General features: G+C 40.2%; 1 protein-coding gene and 1 pseudogene across 2 annotated transcripts in view, besides 1 other annotated feature; both read right to left on the bottom strand.

The window, feature by feature from the left end:
* The window catches only part of IL13RA1 (interleukin 13 receptor subunit alpha 1), a 77,623-nt gene that overhangs the window by 26,131 nt on the left and 32,326 nt on the right, over positions 1-19,166 (bottom strand). For both annotated transcript variants that reach the window (XM_047442096.1, NM_001560.3), the window contains exons 6-10: positions 17,809-17,960; positions 12,521-12,568; positions 12,122-12,254; positions 5,123-5,219; positions 2,587-2,671 (exon numbers count right to left, since the gene is read on the bottom strand). In XM_047442096.1, the coding sequence (XP_047298052.1) occupies positions 2,587-2,671; positions 5,123-5,219; positions 12,122-12,254; positions 12,521-12,568; positions 17,809-17,960 (515 nt within the window). The remainder of the gene's footprint in view (positions 1-2,586; positions 2,672-5,122; positions 5,220-12,121; positions 12,255-12,520; positions 12,569-17,808; positions 17,961-19,166) is intronic.
* On the bottom strand, positions 5,886-9,411 carry TMEM30BP1 (TMEM30B pseudogene 1; annotated as a pseudogene).
* Positions 8,311-8,810: an enhancer, noted in NCBI's record as "H3K27ac-H3K4me1 hESC enhancer chrX:117904251-117904750 (GRCh37/hg19 assembly coordinates)". NCBI's record gives its function as "activates a minimal SCP1, AML or CMV promoter by ChIP-STARR-seq in naive H9 embryonic stem cells {active_cell/tissue: H9 hESC(naive)}" and the evidence as "EXISTENCE:reporter gene assay evidence [ECO:0000049][PMID:30033119]".

Here is a 19,166-nt window from a genome sequence, read left to right as displayed (position 1 = left end):
TAAATCTTTTTCTCAGAAATCCCCTATGCCAACCCTCTACTTCTGTCATACAGATGTCTTAGAAGATGGTGAGGTTCTTCAGAACAAGCATTCTATCTTACAAGAGGCAATGCAGCCTAGTAGAAAGACCAAGAGAAGTCTAGCATTAAGACAGCCCTGGGTCAAATTCTACCTTACCACCAACTAGCTGTGTGACTGCAGCTAAATTGCTTAACCTCATTGGGGCTCCATTTCCTCATCTGTAAAATAATACCAACAGCATCTTCTCCATAGGGTGGTTATGAAGATTCAATAAGGTAATATAGGCAAAGCACTTAATACATTGTCTGACACATAGTAGACTTTCAATAGCTGGTGAAAGTTGTTAGGGTACTTGTACAATTCCCAACCTCCAGCATCTATCACAGCTGGTGAAATGAAGTAAGAGACAGGGGTAAATATCTTTATCACTGATTTTCAAAGTGTGGTCCACAGACTCTCTTAGCAGGACAGGGATCATCTGTGGGCTCCTATTAAATATGCAGAGTCCTAGAACTCGTCCCTGACCTGCCAAATCAGGTCAGGTCAGGGAATTGGAAGTAGGGTCCAGAAATCTGTATTTCTTGTAAGCACTCCAGTTGACTGTGACTCAACTAAAGTTGGAGAACCATAGCTATCATACTCGCTCCAGATACGGCATACAATTTCCTCATCAGGTACCTAACTTCTGGGTCTACATGCCCTGACTCCCAGGGTCTGGCAGAGTTATCTACTGTCTGTGAAGATGACCTGGTTAAAAAGTGATCCAAATGAATCCTCTTCTGATAGCATATTTGCCTCTCTGCCTTCCTTCCCTAACCAAATATCATCACTACCATTGAGAATCACCCATTATTACAATAATTATTTGGGAATTAAAGATAAAAATAAATTATTATCAATAGTAATACTAATCACTAACACTTATTAAGCACTTACAAGGTACCAGGTAGGCTAAGCAGTTTCCATTCAATTAACTGTTGGGTATTAAGTTAATCCACATAACAACACTATGAGGCAGGTGCTATTGTTACCTCCATTTTACTAATGAAAAAATTGAGTCACAGAGAAGCTAAGAAAATTATCCAAGGTCAAAAAGATGGTAAATGACACAGCAGGGATATGAATCCAGACAATCTGACTCCAGAAATCAGGCTATTATCTACTATGCAGTACTACTTCCCTAAATTAACTGCCCTATGCTTGTTATTATTCCTTTAAGATATACACAATGATAATAATATTTATTTCATTTAGTGTCTTTATTATTTCAGTAGGGTGGATGATAAATCCAACTAAAGTTAGAAGCCTCAAACCCTTTTGTTCCCATAATGTCTTAGGTTTTCTGGCCACAAATTCTAGCATGAGAATCTGCAGGAAACCAACTATAACAGTTGGGGTAGGGCTGCTCCATTTCTATATCTTTGGAGTCTAGCCTTCCAAGAAACAACATGAACACAATGCATTTCAATTGCTTACCCTATGTTTATATTTCCCCACATCAAGTTTTTTAAATTATCCAAGAGTCAGAAGGCCTGCTCATTAGGCTAGCTTCATAAAGGAGGCCCTTCTTCCTGCATGTTTTGATAAAATATGTCTCCTAACCAGAGAGAGAATGGAGCCCAGTTATATAAGATGAGCAAAGTATTCTGAAGACTTTTTAACTGGTATGCTTGGCCTCAGATACTATATTTTAAATCAGCTCTCCTTCAAATTTTTAAAAATAAATTGTACTTTAGAAGAACCAATTTCAAAAGGAAATTCTGATACATGCTACAACATGAATGAACCTTTAAAACATTATGGTAAATGAAATAAGCCAGACACAAAAGGACAAATTATTGCATGATTTCACATATAGGAGGTATCTAGAATATTTAATTCATAGAGACAAGAAGTAGAATAGAGGCTACCAGGGGTGGGAGGAATGAGGGGATGGGGAATTATTGTTTAACAGCCACAGTTTCTATTTGGGATGATGAAAAATTTCTGGAAAGAGATAGTGGCGATGGTTGTACAACTTATAAATGTATTTAATGACACTAAACTGTATGTGTGTATATATATATATATATATATATACACACACACATATACACACATATATATTTTATTTTTTAGAGAGTCTCGCTCTGTCATCCAGGCTGGAATGCAGTGGCATGATCATGGCTCACTGCAACCTTGAACTCCTGGGCTCAAGGGATCCTCCCACCTCAATCTCCTGAGTAGCTGGGACCACAGGTGCATGCCGCTGCACCCGGCTAATTTTTATATATTTTGTGGAAATGAGATCTCGCAAAAAAATATAAAAATTAGCTGGGTGCAGTGGCATGCTGTCCAGGCTGGTCTCAAACTGCTGGGCTCAAGTGATCCTCCTGCCTCAGCCTCCCAAAGTGTTGGGATTACAGGCGTCAGCTGCCATACCCAGCCTGAACTGTATACTTAAAAATGCTTAAAATAATAAATTTTATGTTATGGATACCTTACCACACTTTTTTAAAAAATGCCATAGCTTCCAAAAAAAAAAAAAAAAAAAAACATTTCAAGCCCCATGAAATCTGTTCTTACCAGAGTATCATCATTCTGGTCTCCAAACATTTCTTTAAAAATCTTGCCAGGATCAGGAATTGGAGGGAATATAATAATCTTGAGCCTTTAAGAAAACAGAGACATTTGATTCAAACCTTCCAGTCCATAGGAGTGTCCCACATAAATACCACCATATTAAAAGAAGGCATGGACAAAAGACATGGTACACAAGTCATCTTTATTGACAAGGCAGTTGTGAAGAAATTTCTAAAATAGGGTACACAAAAATCAATGTTCTAAGGGCATTAAGTTCTACTCTTGCCCATAGGTGGAGCACAGGGACCATCAGAATAAATGAATTACTTATACCCTATCATCTAAATAATATGCTACTCTACTTTTAACAGACCAGATGGGCGCTTGCTCTGTATAATTTTGAAAAGAATAATCTGAGAACAGGATACATTCCTCTGTTTCTTTTTCCTTCCTACTTCTCTCCATTTTTCAATCTTATAGCTTGCCTCCATCTCCCAGTGAGTGTCCATGGATGTGCCCCAGGATTCAGTTTTTTGTCTTCTTGTCTATCTCATTCACTTTATGAGCACTCCTTTCGGTCTTTAGGCTTTAAATCCATTCACATGCCGAGGATTCCCAAAATTAGATCTTCAGCCCAGACCTCTCCCTTCAACTCCAGATTCATGCACAAAATCGCTTATTTAACATCCTTATTTGGATATCTAATAAGCATCTCAAACTTAACATATGCAAAACTGAAGTCCTTATCTTTCCCTCAAACCCAGCTCTCCTCACAGCCTTCTCTGTCTCAGTACATGGCACCAGCATTCACTCAGTTGCTCAAGCCAAAAATCTAAGAGGTATCTCTGAATCCTTAATTACCTTCACACCTCCACAGACAGGCAACTAACAGCAAGTCTTATCAATTCTACTCTCAAAATATATACTATTTCTGACCACTTCTTGCTATCTCCATTGCTAACCCCCTAGTATAGGTTATCCTCATCTTTCTGCCAAAACACTGCAATGCCTCCGAACTACTCCATCGGCTTCCACTTTTGCCCAAGTCAGTTCTTCACTCAGCAACTACAATAATCCTTTATGACAGTAACTCAGACCATGTGCCTACTCTGCTCAAAACTCTCCAATGCTCCTCATCATGCTTAGAATAAAATCTCAGTTCCTTGCCATGGCCTGCGTGATGTGGTTGGCCAACCTCTGTCCTCCCTCGCTGCCACTCTCTACCCTGCACTCTCCACTCCAGCCAAACAAACCAAGTGCATTTCAGCCTTGGGGACTTTGCATTTGCTGTTCCCATGGCCTGGAGTGCTCTTTCCTCGAATATCTGAATGATTCACTCCTTTACATTACTGGGAGTCTCTCCTCAAATGTCACTTTCTTGGTGACATCCTACATAAAATGCACCTCCTATCACCTCCTAGCCATACCCCACTACTGTCAATTATACTTCTAAGTGAAATTATAGTATTTATTATTTATTTTGTGTGTGTGTGTGTATGTGCATGTGTGTATCTTTCCCTCTAGAATGTAGATGAGGACTTTGTCCTGTTCACTGCTGTAACTTTAGCACTTAGAACAGTACCTGGTTCACAAATAGGCACTCAAAAAATATACATATATAGAGAGAGTATATATATATGTTGAATAAATGTTGAAATAATGATAAAATATTGGTTCTGGATCCAACTTAATAACCTTATTTCAACCTTAGTTATTTACTACAAGAGCAAATAACAGTCCTATAATGAGATAGAGAAAATAAAATATTCTCAAGGAATGGATACCATACATTCATGACAACTTGATGAAGTTCTCTTTCCCACAATATTAAGTAGTAGCCTACTTTGCATTAATACCAGACAAGTCATTTTATTAGTAAAGGTCTCCATTTCTAAAACTTCATTCTAAGAACTACTGACTAACTTGATAGATTAGGCATTTGAAAGAGTATTATGTGAACATAGGACCTATTCAACAATCCTAAACACATGCAAAGGCAGCAGTGCTTGAGCAGGGAGCCCTGGAAAACTAATCCAACATGGTTTTCATTAGAAAGTGGGCATAGCGGCTGGGTGCAGTGGCTCATGCCTATAATCCCAGCACTTTGGGAGGCTGAGGAGGGTGGATCACTTGAGGTCAGGAGTTTGAGACGAGCCTGGCCAACATGGTGAAACCCTGTCTACTAAAAATACAAAAAATTAGCCGGGCGTGGTGGTGGGCACCTGTAATCGCAGCTACTCGGGAGGCTGAGGCAGGAGAATTGCTTGAACCCAGGAGGTGGAGGCTGCAGTGAGCCGAGATCACACCACTGCGCTCCAGCCTGGGCAACAGAGACTCCATCTCAGGAAAAAAAAAAAAAAAAGAAAAGAAAAGAAAGTGGGCGTGGTAATACTTCCTTGTCATGTCATACTCCCGAAAGCCACTTACAGGCAACATGCTTCTAATACACTGGGCAGACATAAAACACAAGCACTAAAAGTAATAACCACAGCAAACAGGCTATCAGAAACTGCAAAACCTGCCTGGGCAGCTACCTTACCTTTTTAGGTAAAGCAGGAGTACTATGATTGCACCTGCGACGATGACTGGAACAATGAGTAACATGGTTATGTAGAGTGTGGAATTGCGCTTCTTACCTGGAGAATGAAAAGCAAACAGAAAGACTTGAGAAATAAAACCCTTTTAGTAATAAACCAAGCAGCAATTCTGTTAGCTAGTAAGATCACAAATATTTCTGCTCCCTCCCCCAACCTATTTTCCCAAGCTCTTCAATTATCTTATCTTCTGTTAAATTAATAGTTTAAAAAAAAAAAGTCCTCCTCTGGTGCCTGAACTTCCCTAGGCGAGCAAATACCTAAAAGATTACCTGAAATTAGGATATTTTTTAAAAGACAAACATAAGCTTTATTCTCTTTCAAAAACTCAGAGACTAGGACCTGGAACCATATTCATTAATTTAATCTGGATCAGAATCCCTTAAATTTGATGGTCTCATTTAAACTTTTGTTTGTTTGTTTGTTTTGAGACAGAGTCTCTCACTCTGTCACCCAGGCTGGAGTGCAATAGCACGATCTTGGCTCACTGCAACCTCCGCCTCCATGTTTCAAGAGATTCTCCTGCCTCAGCCTCCTGAGTAGCTGGGACTACAGGCGCACACCACCACACCGAGTTAATTTTTGTATTTTTAGTAGAGACGGGGTTTCCCTATTTGGGCCAGGCTGGTCTTAAACTCTTGACCTCAAGTGTTCTGTCCGCCTCAGCCTCACAAATTGCTGGGATTACAGGCATGAGCCACTGCGCCCAGCCACATTTAAAATTTTATAGAAATAGACTGACCATTCTAAAAATGACAAAATACATGTTGTTTTCAACTACATAGTAAAAAATGTAGTAAACTCTCTTTTTCAAAATAGAGGAGGGCTGGGCTAGTGAGCTCAAACATTCATAATAAAAATTTCTCTATGTACATAAAATAATGTTTTCATAGCCTAAAATCACCATACAAAAACTGATAATAAAATTGTGTAGTGTTCAGGAGTTGGAAAGCCAACACACTGGAATTACCCAAGTATTTTTTTGGTATCTGTAATAATGAGATAGAATCTCTTAAATCATAGTTGTCCCAGAAGATCTGAGACGGATGTCAGTGACATGCACATTGTCCATTGTTCAGTAACTTTCAGAGAACTAACAGACTAAACTATGTATACTATCCAATACAATCCAATATTTCTTAACTGATAAAAAAAAAACTTCAAGATCTTGTGCTGCTTTAAAGGAAGGAGTATAAACGAATGAGTGGTAACTGGAAAATAGCTATAATAGAAAGCAGGTACTGAAGAATTCTGTCTGACAAATACCAAATAACTGTTTGCTTTTAGCAAATAAACTGGAACATATCACATAGGGTTTTTTTTTAAAGTTCTTTTAAGCTATTTTGCCATGAAAGAAAGGTTTTTTTAAATAAAAATATTGCTTCTTAGAATAACTTTAAACATATTGATTGATGTTAGTCAATCGATAAAATCAATGGAATCATTTTAGCTAAGACTTTTAACATTATCTCCAAGATTCAAATAATGTTAAGATTCTAGTTTACATATAAGACTATATATACCTTAGCATTGTTTCAAATATGATTACTACAAATGTATCTCATTGGAAAACATAAAAAAATTTTTTCCAGATCCAAGAGAAAAGGTATGAATGAAGCCCTTTGTAAGTACGCACGTGTGCGCACGCACACACCCACACACACAGATTAAATGACAAAGAAGACTGAGCCAGGAGACATAGATGTGACTAGGGAAATTACTTTCCCTCAAAGATCCCTTCCAGCTATCTGATTCTACAGTTAAAAAGCATTCCCTCTGAACTGTACAAACTGGCCTCACATTTTCAAATTTCTACACAGTATCTGGTAAAGTTTGCCTGTTTGCTGTTATACTAAAATATCAAATAAATCGACACAAACCCTGGCCTACAAATCTGTACACCAACTAGTTTTCCAGAGATAGTGATTTTTTTTAATTTAATTTTTTTGAGACAGAGTCTCACTCTGTCACCCAGGCTGGAGTGCAGTGGCACGATCTCGACTCAATGCAACCTCCGCCTCCCGGGTTCAAGCGATTCTCCTGCCTCAGCCTCCCGGGAGCTAGAACTACAGGCATCTGCCACCATGCCCAGCTTATTTTTATATTTCAGTAGAGAGAGGGTTTCACCATGTTGGCCAGAGTGGTCTTGTACTCCTGACCTCAAGTGATCCACCCGCCTCAGCCTCCCAAAGTGATGGGATTATAGGCATGAGCCATGGCGCCCAGCCCAGAGATAGTGATTTTTTAAAAATTCATTCCACAAGTCATTAGAGCATACTATATTTAAGGCAGAGTGCCAGACCAAACCTGCAACATTATGGTGTCACTGTCCCTGGGAACAAATTACTATCTGAAAAACTGGACTCAGGTGACTGCTTCAGGCCCAACCAGGTTCAGGGTAGTGATTTCCAAATTTGAGAGAATACAGGAATCTCCAGAGGAGTTTGTTAAAACACAGTTTCAAGCATCTCACCCCAGCATTACTGTGTCAGAATCTCTGGGGTTGGTGCCTCCTCATCTATCTGCATATTTAACAAATATGTTCTCCCACACCCCTCCATGCCTCTGCAGATAATTTGTGGGTCTCACTCTCCATCCCAACCCACCCTCCCCACAAAGAAAAGAAAACCACTGTACTGTAGTGGCAAAAGCTCTAGCCTTAGCGTCAGGAACCACTTGCCAGCTGCCTGATCTTGATTGAGTTATTTGATGTTGCTAGGTCTCTCAATCTCTTCCTCTGGTAGGGGTTGAAAATGAGTCTCTATAAGGATCCCTTCCACTCTTGGACTTGGAGAACCTAACATGGCATCTCAGCATCATGAAGGAGGTGGGGAGAGTTTGCAAGGATGTTTCACTCTGCAGTCAACCCTCCGCCACCAGGCAACAGAGTTTAGCAGCCCCCAAGAGTAAGTGGGTAATTCCCTTCTCTGGCCCCCTCATTCACAAAGGGAGGAAAAGTGAGGAGAGGTTGGAATAGGATGAGAGGCAAAGGGGAGAGACTGAAAAAAGCTTGCAGAATTTTGGTAAGAAGCAGGAAGGGTCGTTGGAAAGCTGGAATCACCCCTCCTCCTCATTGTCATCATCTTTCTGGTAGGTCCTGGTAGCTAATGTAGATGACCAGCATGACAAAGCCAGTAAGGATGCAGAGGGAGCTGACCACCACATAGGCGATGCACAGGAAGGGGTTCCTGCCACCCATCCACAAGATGCTGCTGAAGATGCGGAGCCTGTGGCCGCCAAATGCACGCACCAGGTAGTTGTAGGTGATGTTGACACAGTAGACACACCGCGGCAGCCCAGCTGAGTAGTTGCCCTGGCGGATGTGCCCGTACAGCTTGCGGAACAGCTTGCGGAACGTGGGCAGCGCTGCCATGCGCATCCACACCACGAAGTCCTGGTTGATGAAGCCGTTGTTGTTGGGGATGGGGCTGAGCTTGTCGTAGACCAGCCAGCGCCAGTTGGGCAGGGGTGCTGTGCCATGGAAGGCCAGTGCCAGGCTGCCGTTGACCAGTGGTGGGTTGCAGAACTTGATGGGGTAGTTGGTCTACCGGGTGATGCAGGTGCAGTGCGGTAGCGCGGCACCTCCACGTAGGGCTCGCCGGGCCAGCACTGGTGCCACAGCGAGGAGTCGTTGAAGAGGCTGTTGGTGATGACATTGCAGGGTGCACGATGGGCAGGCGGCGCAGTGGGTGCACTCATTGACTGGATGGTGCAGCGTGCTGGGCAGCCCGCTCAGCTGCGCGTTGTCGCGGACACTCCATACCGCCGGTTGTTTTGGTAGAAGTTGGTCAGCACGTAGTAGGGGTACACAGGGCCCTGGAAGAGCTCAGGCAGTGAGAAGTACCAGGCGCATGAGCAGATGGGCAGTGGCACACAGCCCTGGCCAGCCACAGCACACACCGAGCAGTTGCTGGTGCCCGGGTCGCCGGTGTAGTTGTACTCCAGCTCCTTGATGCTGGTGGAGGAGTAATAGAGGTCCAGGCTGATGAAGGCCAGGCCCACGTAGAAGAAGAGCTGCAGCCTAATGCTGGCCAACAGCAGCGGTTGCCAGGCAGGGAGGTGCTGCCACGTGAATGTGGTGGTGTTGAGCTGGTGGGCGCCCCCGGCTGTGGTGCTCCAGGTCATGGCAGCCACATGGGCTGACTGAGAGGGGCCCAGCCACGGGAGGCCTCCCTCTGTGCACTGGGTGAGCCCAGGGGATGCTCATGGGGTGGGTTTCCCCACCCGCTCAGGTAAATCAGAAGATCTTAACTAGTTTTAAATACTATTAACAAAGATGCTATATTAAATATGTAATCTTATTAACAGTGACTACATATTTTACTGGTTACTTACCACTACTAAAATACCTAAAATAATCCTAACAACTACTATTATTCTTAAATAAGCACCTACTATATGTCTGATACCACACTAGGTGGTTTTGCATGCTTATCTCATATATATGCTATAATGATAGCATTATCTCCCATTTAAGCAGATGAGAAAGATAAGGCTCAGAGAGGTTTAGTAAGTCATCCGGAAGGATTTAGTAAATAATGGCATCAGGCCTCAAATTCCAGTTCCACTGTCCAATTCCAAAGCCTGCCTTGCTACATCTAACATATAGACTGTCATTTGTCTATATACAAATTCATTTTTCCCACTAGGTCATGAACATCTAGAAAGCATCATCAAGGCCTGGCACCATTGTTTTAGGCAGTCACTAAGATTTCTCCACATGATTCCTGCCTCCTGATATTCATTCCCTGGTGTAATCCCCTCTCCTTGAGCATGGGCTAGACTAATTGACTCACTTCTAAAAAACAGAACAGCAGCAGTAATGGGATGTCATTTCTAAGGTTAGGTTATAAAAGACCATGGTTCCCATATTGCGTGTTCTCTCACACTGTTTCTTGCTTGGATTACTCACTTGGGAAAGCCAGTTTCCATGTCAGGAAGTAGCCCTATGGGGAGGTCCAAGTGGCAAGGAACTAAGGGAAGCAAATTACCACAAACTGAATGGCTTACAACAACAGAAATGTATTATCTCACAGTTTTGGAGGCTAGAAATCCAAAATGAAGGTGTCAGCAGGGCTATGCTCCCTCTGAGGGCTCTAGAGAAGAATCCCTCTTTGCCTCTTCCTAGCTTCTGGTAGCTCCTGGGAATCCTTGTTGTTCCTTGGTTGTAGCTGCATCTCTGCAATCTCTGCCTCCATCTTCACATGGCTTTCTTCCCTGTGTGTCTGTGTGTCTCTGTGTGGCTTCTCTTTTTATAAGGATACTAGTCATTAGATTAACTGTCCACTTTAATCCAGCATGACCTCATCCTCACTTGATTATATCTGCAAAAATCCTATTTCCAAATAAGGTTACATTCACAGGTACCGGGGTTGGAACCTACGAACATACCTTTTTGGGAGATACAATTCAACCTGCAACAGCCTCCATCCAGCAACCAGTGAGGTACTGAGGCTTTCCAACAACTATATGAGTGAACTTGGAAATGGATGCTCTGTCCCCAGTCAAGCCTTCAGACATATTTCAGTTCTCATTGCAGCTTGACTGCAACCTCATGAGACCTCCAGCTAAGCCGTGGCTAGACTCCTGACTCACCGAAACTGTGAGATGGTAAATGTATGTTGGTTCAAGCCATTAAACTTTGGAGTAATTTGTTATACAACAATAAATAAACGAATACAACCATGCCTGGCACATAACTTGTTGAGCTTCTCAATTAATAGGGAATTGGCTACCTCGACAACCTGTTTGACCAATATACAGCTGTTTAAAAAGTTCTTAAGTTGGTTCTGTGTTGCCCCTTGGAGACACAAAAAGTAAAGCCTATTCCTTCTTGTACCTGACAATACCTCAAATATTAGAAATCAGCAATCATGACTCCTCAAAGTTACTTTACCAATTGTTCCTTGCCAAGTTTTGAGATTCTTCAACATCCTGATTATCCTTTCAAGGATAGATTCCAGTCTGCCAAGGCAACTCCTTTAATGTGGTGCTCAGAATGGAATACTGCACAATTCTGATGTGACCATAGCTCTGTGCCCCAACCTGCAGCATTCCTTTCTGGGTGCTGCACTTATCACTCCTAAGATTGTATATGCCTTTTTGACACATTTAAGATTACAATGTTGAGTCACATTGCACTTATAAAGCCGTGTATCCCACCCCACCACACACACATCCATAAAGCACAGGTCTTTCCAGTCCTGTACTTGAGCCTAGCTTGCTCAGCCTTTCAATTAATAAATGATTTTTTTCAAACTTAGGTACAGGTTTCTATTAAATGGCTCCACTCTTGTTTCTGCCAACCAGCATGTAGGACAGTCTCTAGTATTGTACAATGTGCAAATTTTATTATGCCTGCCTTTTTTTTTTCTTCTTCCTTGAGACGGTCTCACTCTGTCGCCCAGGCTGGAGGGCAGTGGCACAATCTCAGCTCACTGTAACCTCCGCCTCCCAGGCTCAAGAGATCTTCCCATCTCTGCCTCTTGGGTAGCCAAGACCACAAGCGTGCACCACCATATCTGGTTAATTTTTGTATTTTTTGTAGAGATGGGGTTTCACCATGTTGCTCAGGCTGGTCTCCAACTCCTGGGCTCAAGCGATCCTCCTGCCTCAGCCTCTCAAAGTGCTGGGATCACAGGCGTGAGTCACTGTGTGCAGCCTATGCCTGCTTTCTATATTTTTGTTCAGTTTGTTAATAAAAATGGAAATGAGATAGAAAAGAACATAAAACCATTTGGATTATGGTTTTCTAAATAACTGTATACTGTCAATTAACCCTGGGTGGTTTGAAAGTGATTAAGAAGAAAATAAATTTCAATTGTAAGTACTCTTTTCCTGACATCAAGAGAGCATGACAGTCCCTTTCCCCAGTCTATTTTCTGCTTCAGCTTAGTTTTTATACATCAGTGTTTTAAATTTTAATAAAAATTCTGTTCTCTTACCTATACTCATTTCTTGGCTCCAATTACTCCAGAGTTTGTCATCCTCATAGCATAACTTATTTGTTTTGACTCTTATTCTGACTGTGTTCAAAGTATCAGGAAGAACACCAGGGACCATGAAACAAGATGTATTCTTAGGCATAAAATAAAAATACACAAGGAATATTACCAGTTTATTCTTTTTCACTGTTATTGAATCATAATACAATTATCTGCCAAATTCTGTCTATGATTAAGACTTGGATTGCAATTCAAATTATCTTTGACTTTTCGAAAAAATTGTCAATAACTCACGGAACAACGTAATTTGTTTTTCTCAAAGCAGCTCATATTTAGGCTATGCTCCACCCCCAACTGCTCTAAGTCTAAACCCAAATAGCTAATGTTGAATTTACTGACCTCCACATTTCTCTCAAATTCTGGATTCTCACATTTAGCCTCTTGGACCTTGAAAATAAAAATAAATAAATAAACTAATGAGTCCTAAATGTTTAAAAACCCATTTTCTATCACCTAGTCATTTCTAACAAGCTTTCCTTTTATCCCATTAAAAGATGATCAGGTACAGTGAAAAAAGGTTGGCCTTTTTTAATAAATGGTGCTGGGTCAATTACATATGCATATGAAAAAAAAAAAGATTCTTGACGCCCTACCTCATACTATTCACAAAATCAGTTCCTGATATATTGCAGATTTAAATGTGTAAGATAAAATGAATTAATAAATACATAACTATAGCAAGCTTTTAGATAAAAACAGAGAATATCTTAATGACCTTGAAGAAGGGAAATATTTCTTAAACAAGACCAAAAAAACCTCCCATATTAACCATAAAGAGAATTTTTTAATAAAGTCATCCATATTAAAATTAAAAACATTTGTTGATCAAATGACACCTTATAGGGAAATAAACAGGCAATGCATAGAGTGTGAGAACATATTTGCAATTTCTGACAAAGGACTTGCATATGTATTTTTTCTTACCCTACTAATAAGGCAAAAACAGAAAACCCAATTTTAAAAAAACTGGCAAAAGACTTGAACAGGCACTTCATAAGAGGATAAGCAAGTTGCGAATAAACATCTGAAAAAGTGTTCAACATCACTGGTCATGAGAAAAATGCAAATTAAATCCACAAGATAACAATACACACACTTACCTGACAACAACAAGTGTTGTGAGGATATGAAGCATCTAGAACTCACAATTTCTGCTTAGTAGTGTAAACTGGCACAACCATCCAGGAAAACTGTTATTATCTACTAGAGACAATCATATGTAACCTTATGACCCACATATGCCTATATAAATGCCCCATACAAATGTACGCACATGTGTACCAAGAGACAAGTATGTGAACGTTCATAAGAACTCCATTCATAAAACCAAATGGGAAACTATCCAAACGTCCATCAATGGGAGAATGGATAAAGTATGGTATATTCACACAATGGAATGAATGTAGTGAGAACGTGCCATCTACAGCTATAAGAAACAACATTGGTGAATCTCATAAACATAATGTTGAGTGAAAAAAAGGGCAAACACACAAAAAAGTACATTCTGGGCCAGGCACAGTGGCTCACGCCTGTAATCCCAGCACTTTGGGAGGCTGAGGAGGGTGGATCACATGAGGCCAGGAGTTCGAGAGCCAGGAGCCTGCCTAACATGGCGAAACCTCGTCTCTACTAAAAAATACAAAAAAAAAAAAAAAGCTGGGCTTGATGGCATGTGCCTGTAATCCCAGCTACTCCGCACGCTAAGACAGGAGAATCGCTTGAACCCGGGAGGTGGAGGTTGCAGTGAGCTGAGATTGCGCCACTGCACTGCACTCCAGCCTGGGTGACAGAGCAAGACTCTGTCTCGAAAAAAAAAAGTACGTTCTATATAATTCCATTTATATAAAGTTTTAAAGTAGCAACAAAATCAATCTATGGGATTAGAAGCCAGGAGAGTAGCTGCTCTTTGGGAGGACAGCAACTGAAGGGGGCTTCTGTGGTGCTGGTTACATAGGTGAAAAATCATTTGTGAAAAATCATTGAGCTATAGGTTATGATTTGTGTAATTTTGTTCATGTATTATAACTCAGTAAAAACTTTTTAAAAAGAGACAGGGAGCGAGAAACCAGTGTCCCTTGTTGAGAGTATAAGATATAAAACTTGACTGGGTTGGAGAAAAGAAAGTGTAATGCAAAATTCTCCTCCACACAATAAAAGTCACTTGCTGTCTAATGTAAAGAGAATACTAATTTCCTTAAATGCAAGTATTTCCAAAATGGAGTAAAAAACACATGAAAATCTGTTGCTTAAATAGTCAACTTCTATCAAAGAGACGTTTAAACTTGGAACCAAGACCAGAACACATAGATATTATTTTTGACATTCAATGTCATTCACTAAATAGTTCCTACCAGCCTGTGTAAAGAGCTGAGAGGCCAAGCAAATGATGAAGGGACATCCTTTCAATATTTCATACAGAGGTTGAGAAAAAAAAAACCCCACTCAGGGGGCTAGTATACCCTATTACTGGCCATTTAGAATCGTAGACCTGTTGGGGAATCACAAGCGTCAACTACCAGTGAGGGATCAAGTTGCAAATTGATGTCCCTCCTCCCCTGGACCATCTCCCATATATAGAAATTCCAAACTTGCCGAATCAACCTGTAGATTTACGTCTCTAGGCTCTTGTTCAAATGTAAATCCCCCTGCATAGTTTACTGGCTCTTCAGAGACCACTAAGAGAAGGAAAGCCAGGGCACCAAGAAGATAGTCTGCTGGGAAGGTGGGGGTGGGGGGTGGGGGGTGGTCACAGACAAGTTGTTCCTTACTTCATAATTCTGTCATGAGCTACCTCTGACCACAGCCCCCATGTGTTGGTACCAGTTCATGTTCCCGCTTACTTCCCCCTCTTAAGTGTAACACCAGGCAAAATAATTCCTCAAAAAGGAAAAAAAAAGAAAAATCTAAGCAGCAGAGTTCAAAATCTGTGAGCACACAAAAAACTGATGACATTCTACATCTGCTAGGAGGAAGAATATTAAACTCAAGTGTACAAACAGAGTTAATTCCAAATAGAAAATAGTTCTGATTTAGGTAGATAACTTCCATAGTGTATGTGTTCTCTTCAGTTCAGAAGTTTGTAAAAAAAAAAAAAGTAACTCAATTCAATAATAATTTATTAAATGATGATTGTGCACATGACATTATGCTAAGTATTCTTGGTCAAAGTTAAATACATGGAGACCAACCAACCTTTGAAGTGTTACTGACTTATTAGCTGTGTGGCTTGTAGCAAGTTACTTAACCTCTCTGAGCCTTAGTTTTTTCAATAAAATGTAGGTTAAAATAGTTTCTATTTCATGGGTTGCTATGAGCTACTGTATTAAGAAGCACATAGAAGAGCATCTTTGTAGCATGCCATAAACACTTAATGAATGATAGCTATTGCTATTAAGAGGAAGTATTGAGGTGTTCTCTAGCGGTTAAGAATCCAAGTCTTAGCGTTACAACTTTGGTTAAATGTTGATTCTACCACTTACTAAAAATGTGACCTTAGGAGTAACTAAGTTTTCTTATCTTGTAAAATGGAGACAAAATAACAGGACCTAGATCCTTAGGGTTATTGTGAAGATTAAATGAAACAATTCAGATATAGTGCTTATTAAGATACCTAGCACATAGTAATCACTCAATACAGGTTAGCTGCTATTTAGTAGCAGGAACTGCACAAAGTAGACAGCACCAAACTCCTTCCTACAGAAGTCTATATTTTCTTTTTTTAAAAAATATCAACTTTTAAATTCTGAGGTACATGTGCAGGGTGTGTAGGTTTGTGACATAGGTAAAAGTGTGCCATAGTGGTTTGCTGCACAGATCAACCCATCACCCAGGTATTAAGGCCAGTATCCATTAGTTGTTCTTCCTGATGCTCTCCCTCCTCCCACCACAGCCCCCACAGGCCCCAGTATGTGTTGTTCACCTCCATGTGTCCATGTGTTCTCATTGTCCAGCTCCCACTTATAAGTGAGAACATGTGGCATTTGGTTTTCTGTAGGAGTCTATATTTTCAGTGGAGAGAAAATGCATACATGTGATAGGTTAAACAGCAGAAAATAATTGAGTGGCAAAATGAATACTATCTCAGGATTTCAGACATGCATCTCAGGATTTCAGACAGGAGAGAACAGTAAAGACTGGAGTAAACAAGTGTATTTCAGCTTTCTGATAACTCCTTTTGTTGTAAATTCAAGTACCAGCCCCCTTCCACATGAAAGCCCTTAGATTTTTCCCTTTGCTGCATTTCATGGGGCACTTAATTTCTGGTACTAGTAATGATTATTATATTTCAGCAGAAGGATTCATAATGCAAATGCCCAGAAGAGCATTTGCTGTTCTGTTCTGCTGTGGACTTGGTCACTCCCTCTGGAGTTGGAATTATAGCCTGTCAACACTGGCTTATTTTAGCAAGCATTTTGGAAGTTCCATGATGAGCTAAAACAACTGGACCAAGGAATTTACCCACGTGCGAGATGCTAGGCTCCTTTAAAAGCCAATATAAAACACTTCACTTCTAATCTCTAAAACTCAAACACACAAAGGGTCCAGGCAGGTAGCAGACAAGTGAGTGGTGCAGTCTTCATGGTCTTAAGGCGCCATCTTATGGACACACACTCTTAAAGTACTATGATTTAAAATCTGGGCAAAAAATTCAAATCTAGTAAACAAACAAACAAACAAAACACGACTTTGTGTTCCACACAAAAAAGTGTGAGGCCCTAGTTTGTGACCTTTACCCTAAAGCAGAACAACTGGACTGATGTCCTGAGATTATAGTACACTCTGGTCAGTGTCCTACAGGGCCTCTAATTAGCATGTTCTGCATTTGATTCTGAATAGCATACAGGCACATAATCCAACAAATATTGACTACTCAAATCTGATTACTTTAGTTGCCACAAACTCCAAGAAAACAGAATGGTATTATCAGAGCCTCCAAAGTGTCCGCAAGATCTGATGTCTGCCTACTGCTTAGACATCTTTTCCTGCTACATTTTGTTCACACCACCCTCCTTTCTGTTCTCTCACACATGCTAAGCTCATTTTTGCCTCAGAGTCTGTATCTGCTGACCCCCTACACCCAGATCTTCACATGGCTAGCGTCTGCTCATCATTCTGGTCTCATCTCAAATGTTATTACCTCAGATGATTTCCCTACCTAATATTCCCTCTCGTTCTCCCAGTCACTCTACTACATCAGCCCATTTTATTTTCTTCACAGCACTCATCCTCTGAAATTAGCTTGCTTATTTACTTACGTTTTCTATTATGTAGGTTTCATGAAGAAAAAAACTTGTCAGGTGTCATGTTCACTGCCTTATCCCTAGCACACAAAAGAGTGCTTGGCATGTGGTGGATATTTAATAAGAACGTGTTGAGCAAATGAATTATCGTTTAATAGGCCTTTCTAAGAAGCTTACAGATGAATAAATGGCTTGAAACTTGCAGCTGATACTATCATACCATAAATCTTCAAATCTTCCACCATGCCTTATTTTAGACAAGAAGTTTCATTACCATCATCATCATAAGGTGACAAATGTAAGAGCTATGTTTCATTGATATTTCAATGTAAGAAATTCAAGTAAAAGAAAAATAGCCAAATAAAAACAATAATTTTAAAACCTTACGTAGAAAACATTATGTGTCTCAGTTTGGCTGTTATTGACTTCTACTTCATAAAATAGGCATCTGCTAATAAAATTCTGTGGATTCTCCCATTGCACATATAGGTCATCATTGTGGAAGGAGAGGTTTTTAATATGTGGAGGATCAGGTTTCACTGAAAAACAAAAATAGAACACAAGTAAGCTTCCAAAGCTTGATTATACACACAAACACACAGTCGGCCCTCCATATCCATGGATTCCACATTCATGAATTCAACCAACCATGAACTGAAAATATTTTTTAAAAAATAGCATCTGTGCTGAACATGTACAGAGTTTTTTCTTCTCATTTATTCCCTAGATAATATAACAACTATTTACATAGCATTTACATTGTATTAGGTATTATAAGTAATGTAGACATGATTTAAAGTATGTGAGAAAATATGCATAGGTTATATGCAAGTACTATGCTACTTTTTATCAGGGACTTGAGCATCCATGGATTTTGGTATCCTTGGAAGTTCCTGGAAGCAATCCCTCACAAATACTGAGAGACAACTGCAGATATATGCAGGGTTCATAAAGTTAAATCAAAACAGAGCTGATGCATTTAGTGGCCTTTCATGATCAGATACATAGTTTTAGAATTTCTATTTAGCCACAATTATAGAAGAAGTTTATTTAAAACTGCCTAGTAAAATGAATTTAAGGAACATATTTGGGGTATCTAGCAGATGATATGAACTCTGACCTGCATCTGGTTAGAAAATGGCCAGGGTATAATCAGGACATCTAGACGCAACATAGAGAATAAAGAAAGGCTTGGATCCAGATGTACTTCCACCTGATGAGTAATAAGGCACCAGATACAAGGGGCTTCCCTAGTTGTCACTTATTAATGCCAATCAAAGACCACCATTAAAACATTGGCTTAGTCTCTGACACACACTGCAACATAAATGCACTTCAAGGAAATTATGCTAGGTAAAATAAGCCAGTCACAAAAGACAAATATTGTATGAATCCACTCCTATGAGGTATCTTAAGTAGTCAAATTCATAGAAACAGAAAGTAGAAAGGTGGTTGCTAAGGGCGGAGGGGAGGGGAAATTAATGTTTAATGAACAGAGTTCGGTTTTGCAAGATGAAAAAGTTCTAAAGAGCTGCTGCATAACAATGTGAATATACTTAACACTACCGAACTGTACACTTAAAATGTTTATGATGGTAATTTTAATGTTGTGTGTTTATAACCACAATTAAGAGTAAAATACTTTGGGAGCCAAGGTGGGTAGATCGCTTGAGCTCAGGAGATTGAGACCAGCCTGCGAAACATGGCAAAACCCCGTCTCTACAAAAAATACAAAAATTAGCCTG

The sequence above is a fragment of the Homo sapiens genome, chromosome X (assembly GCF_000001405.40).
Source record: "Homo sapiens chromosome X, GRCh38.p14 Primary Assembly".
In the NCBI taxonomy this organism is placed as follows: Eukaryota; Metazoa; Chordata; class Mammalia; order Primates; family Hominidae; genus Homo; species Homo sapiens.
This window is presented reverse-complemented; position numbering and strand designations above follow the sequence as displayed.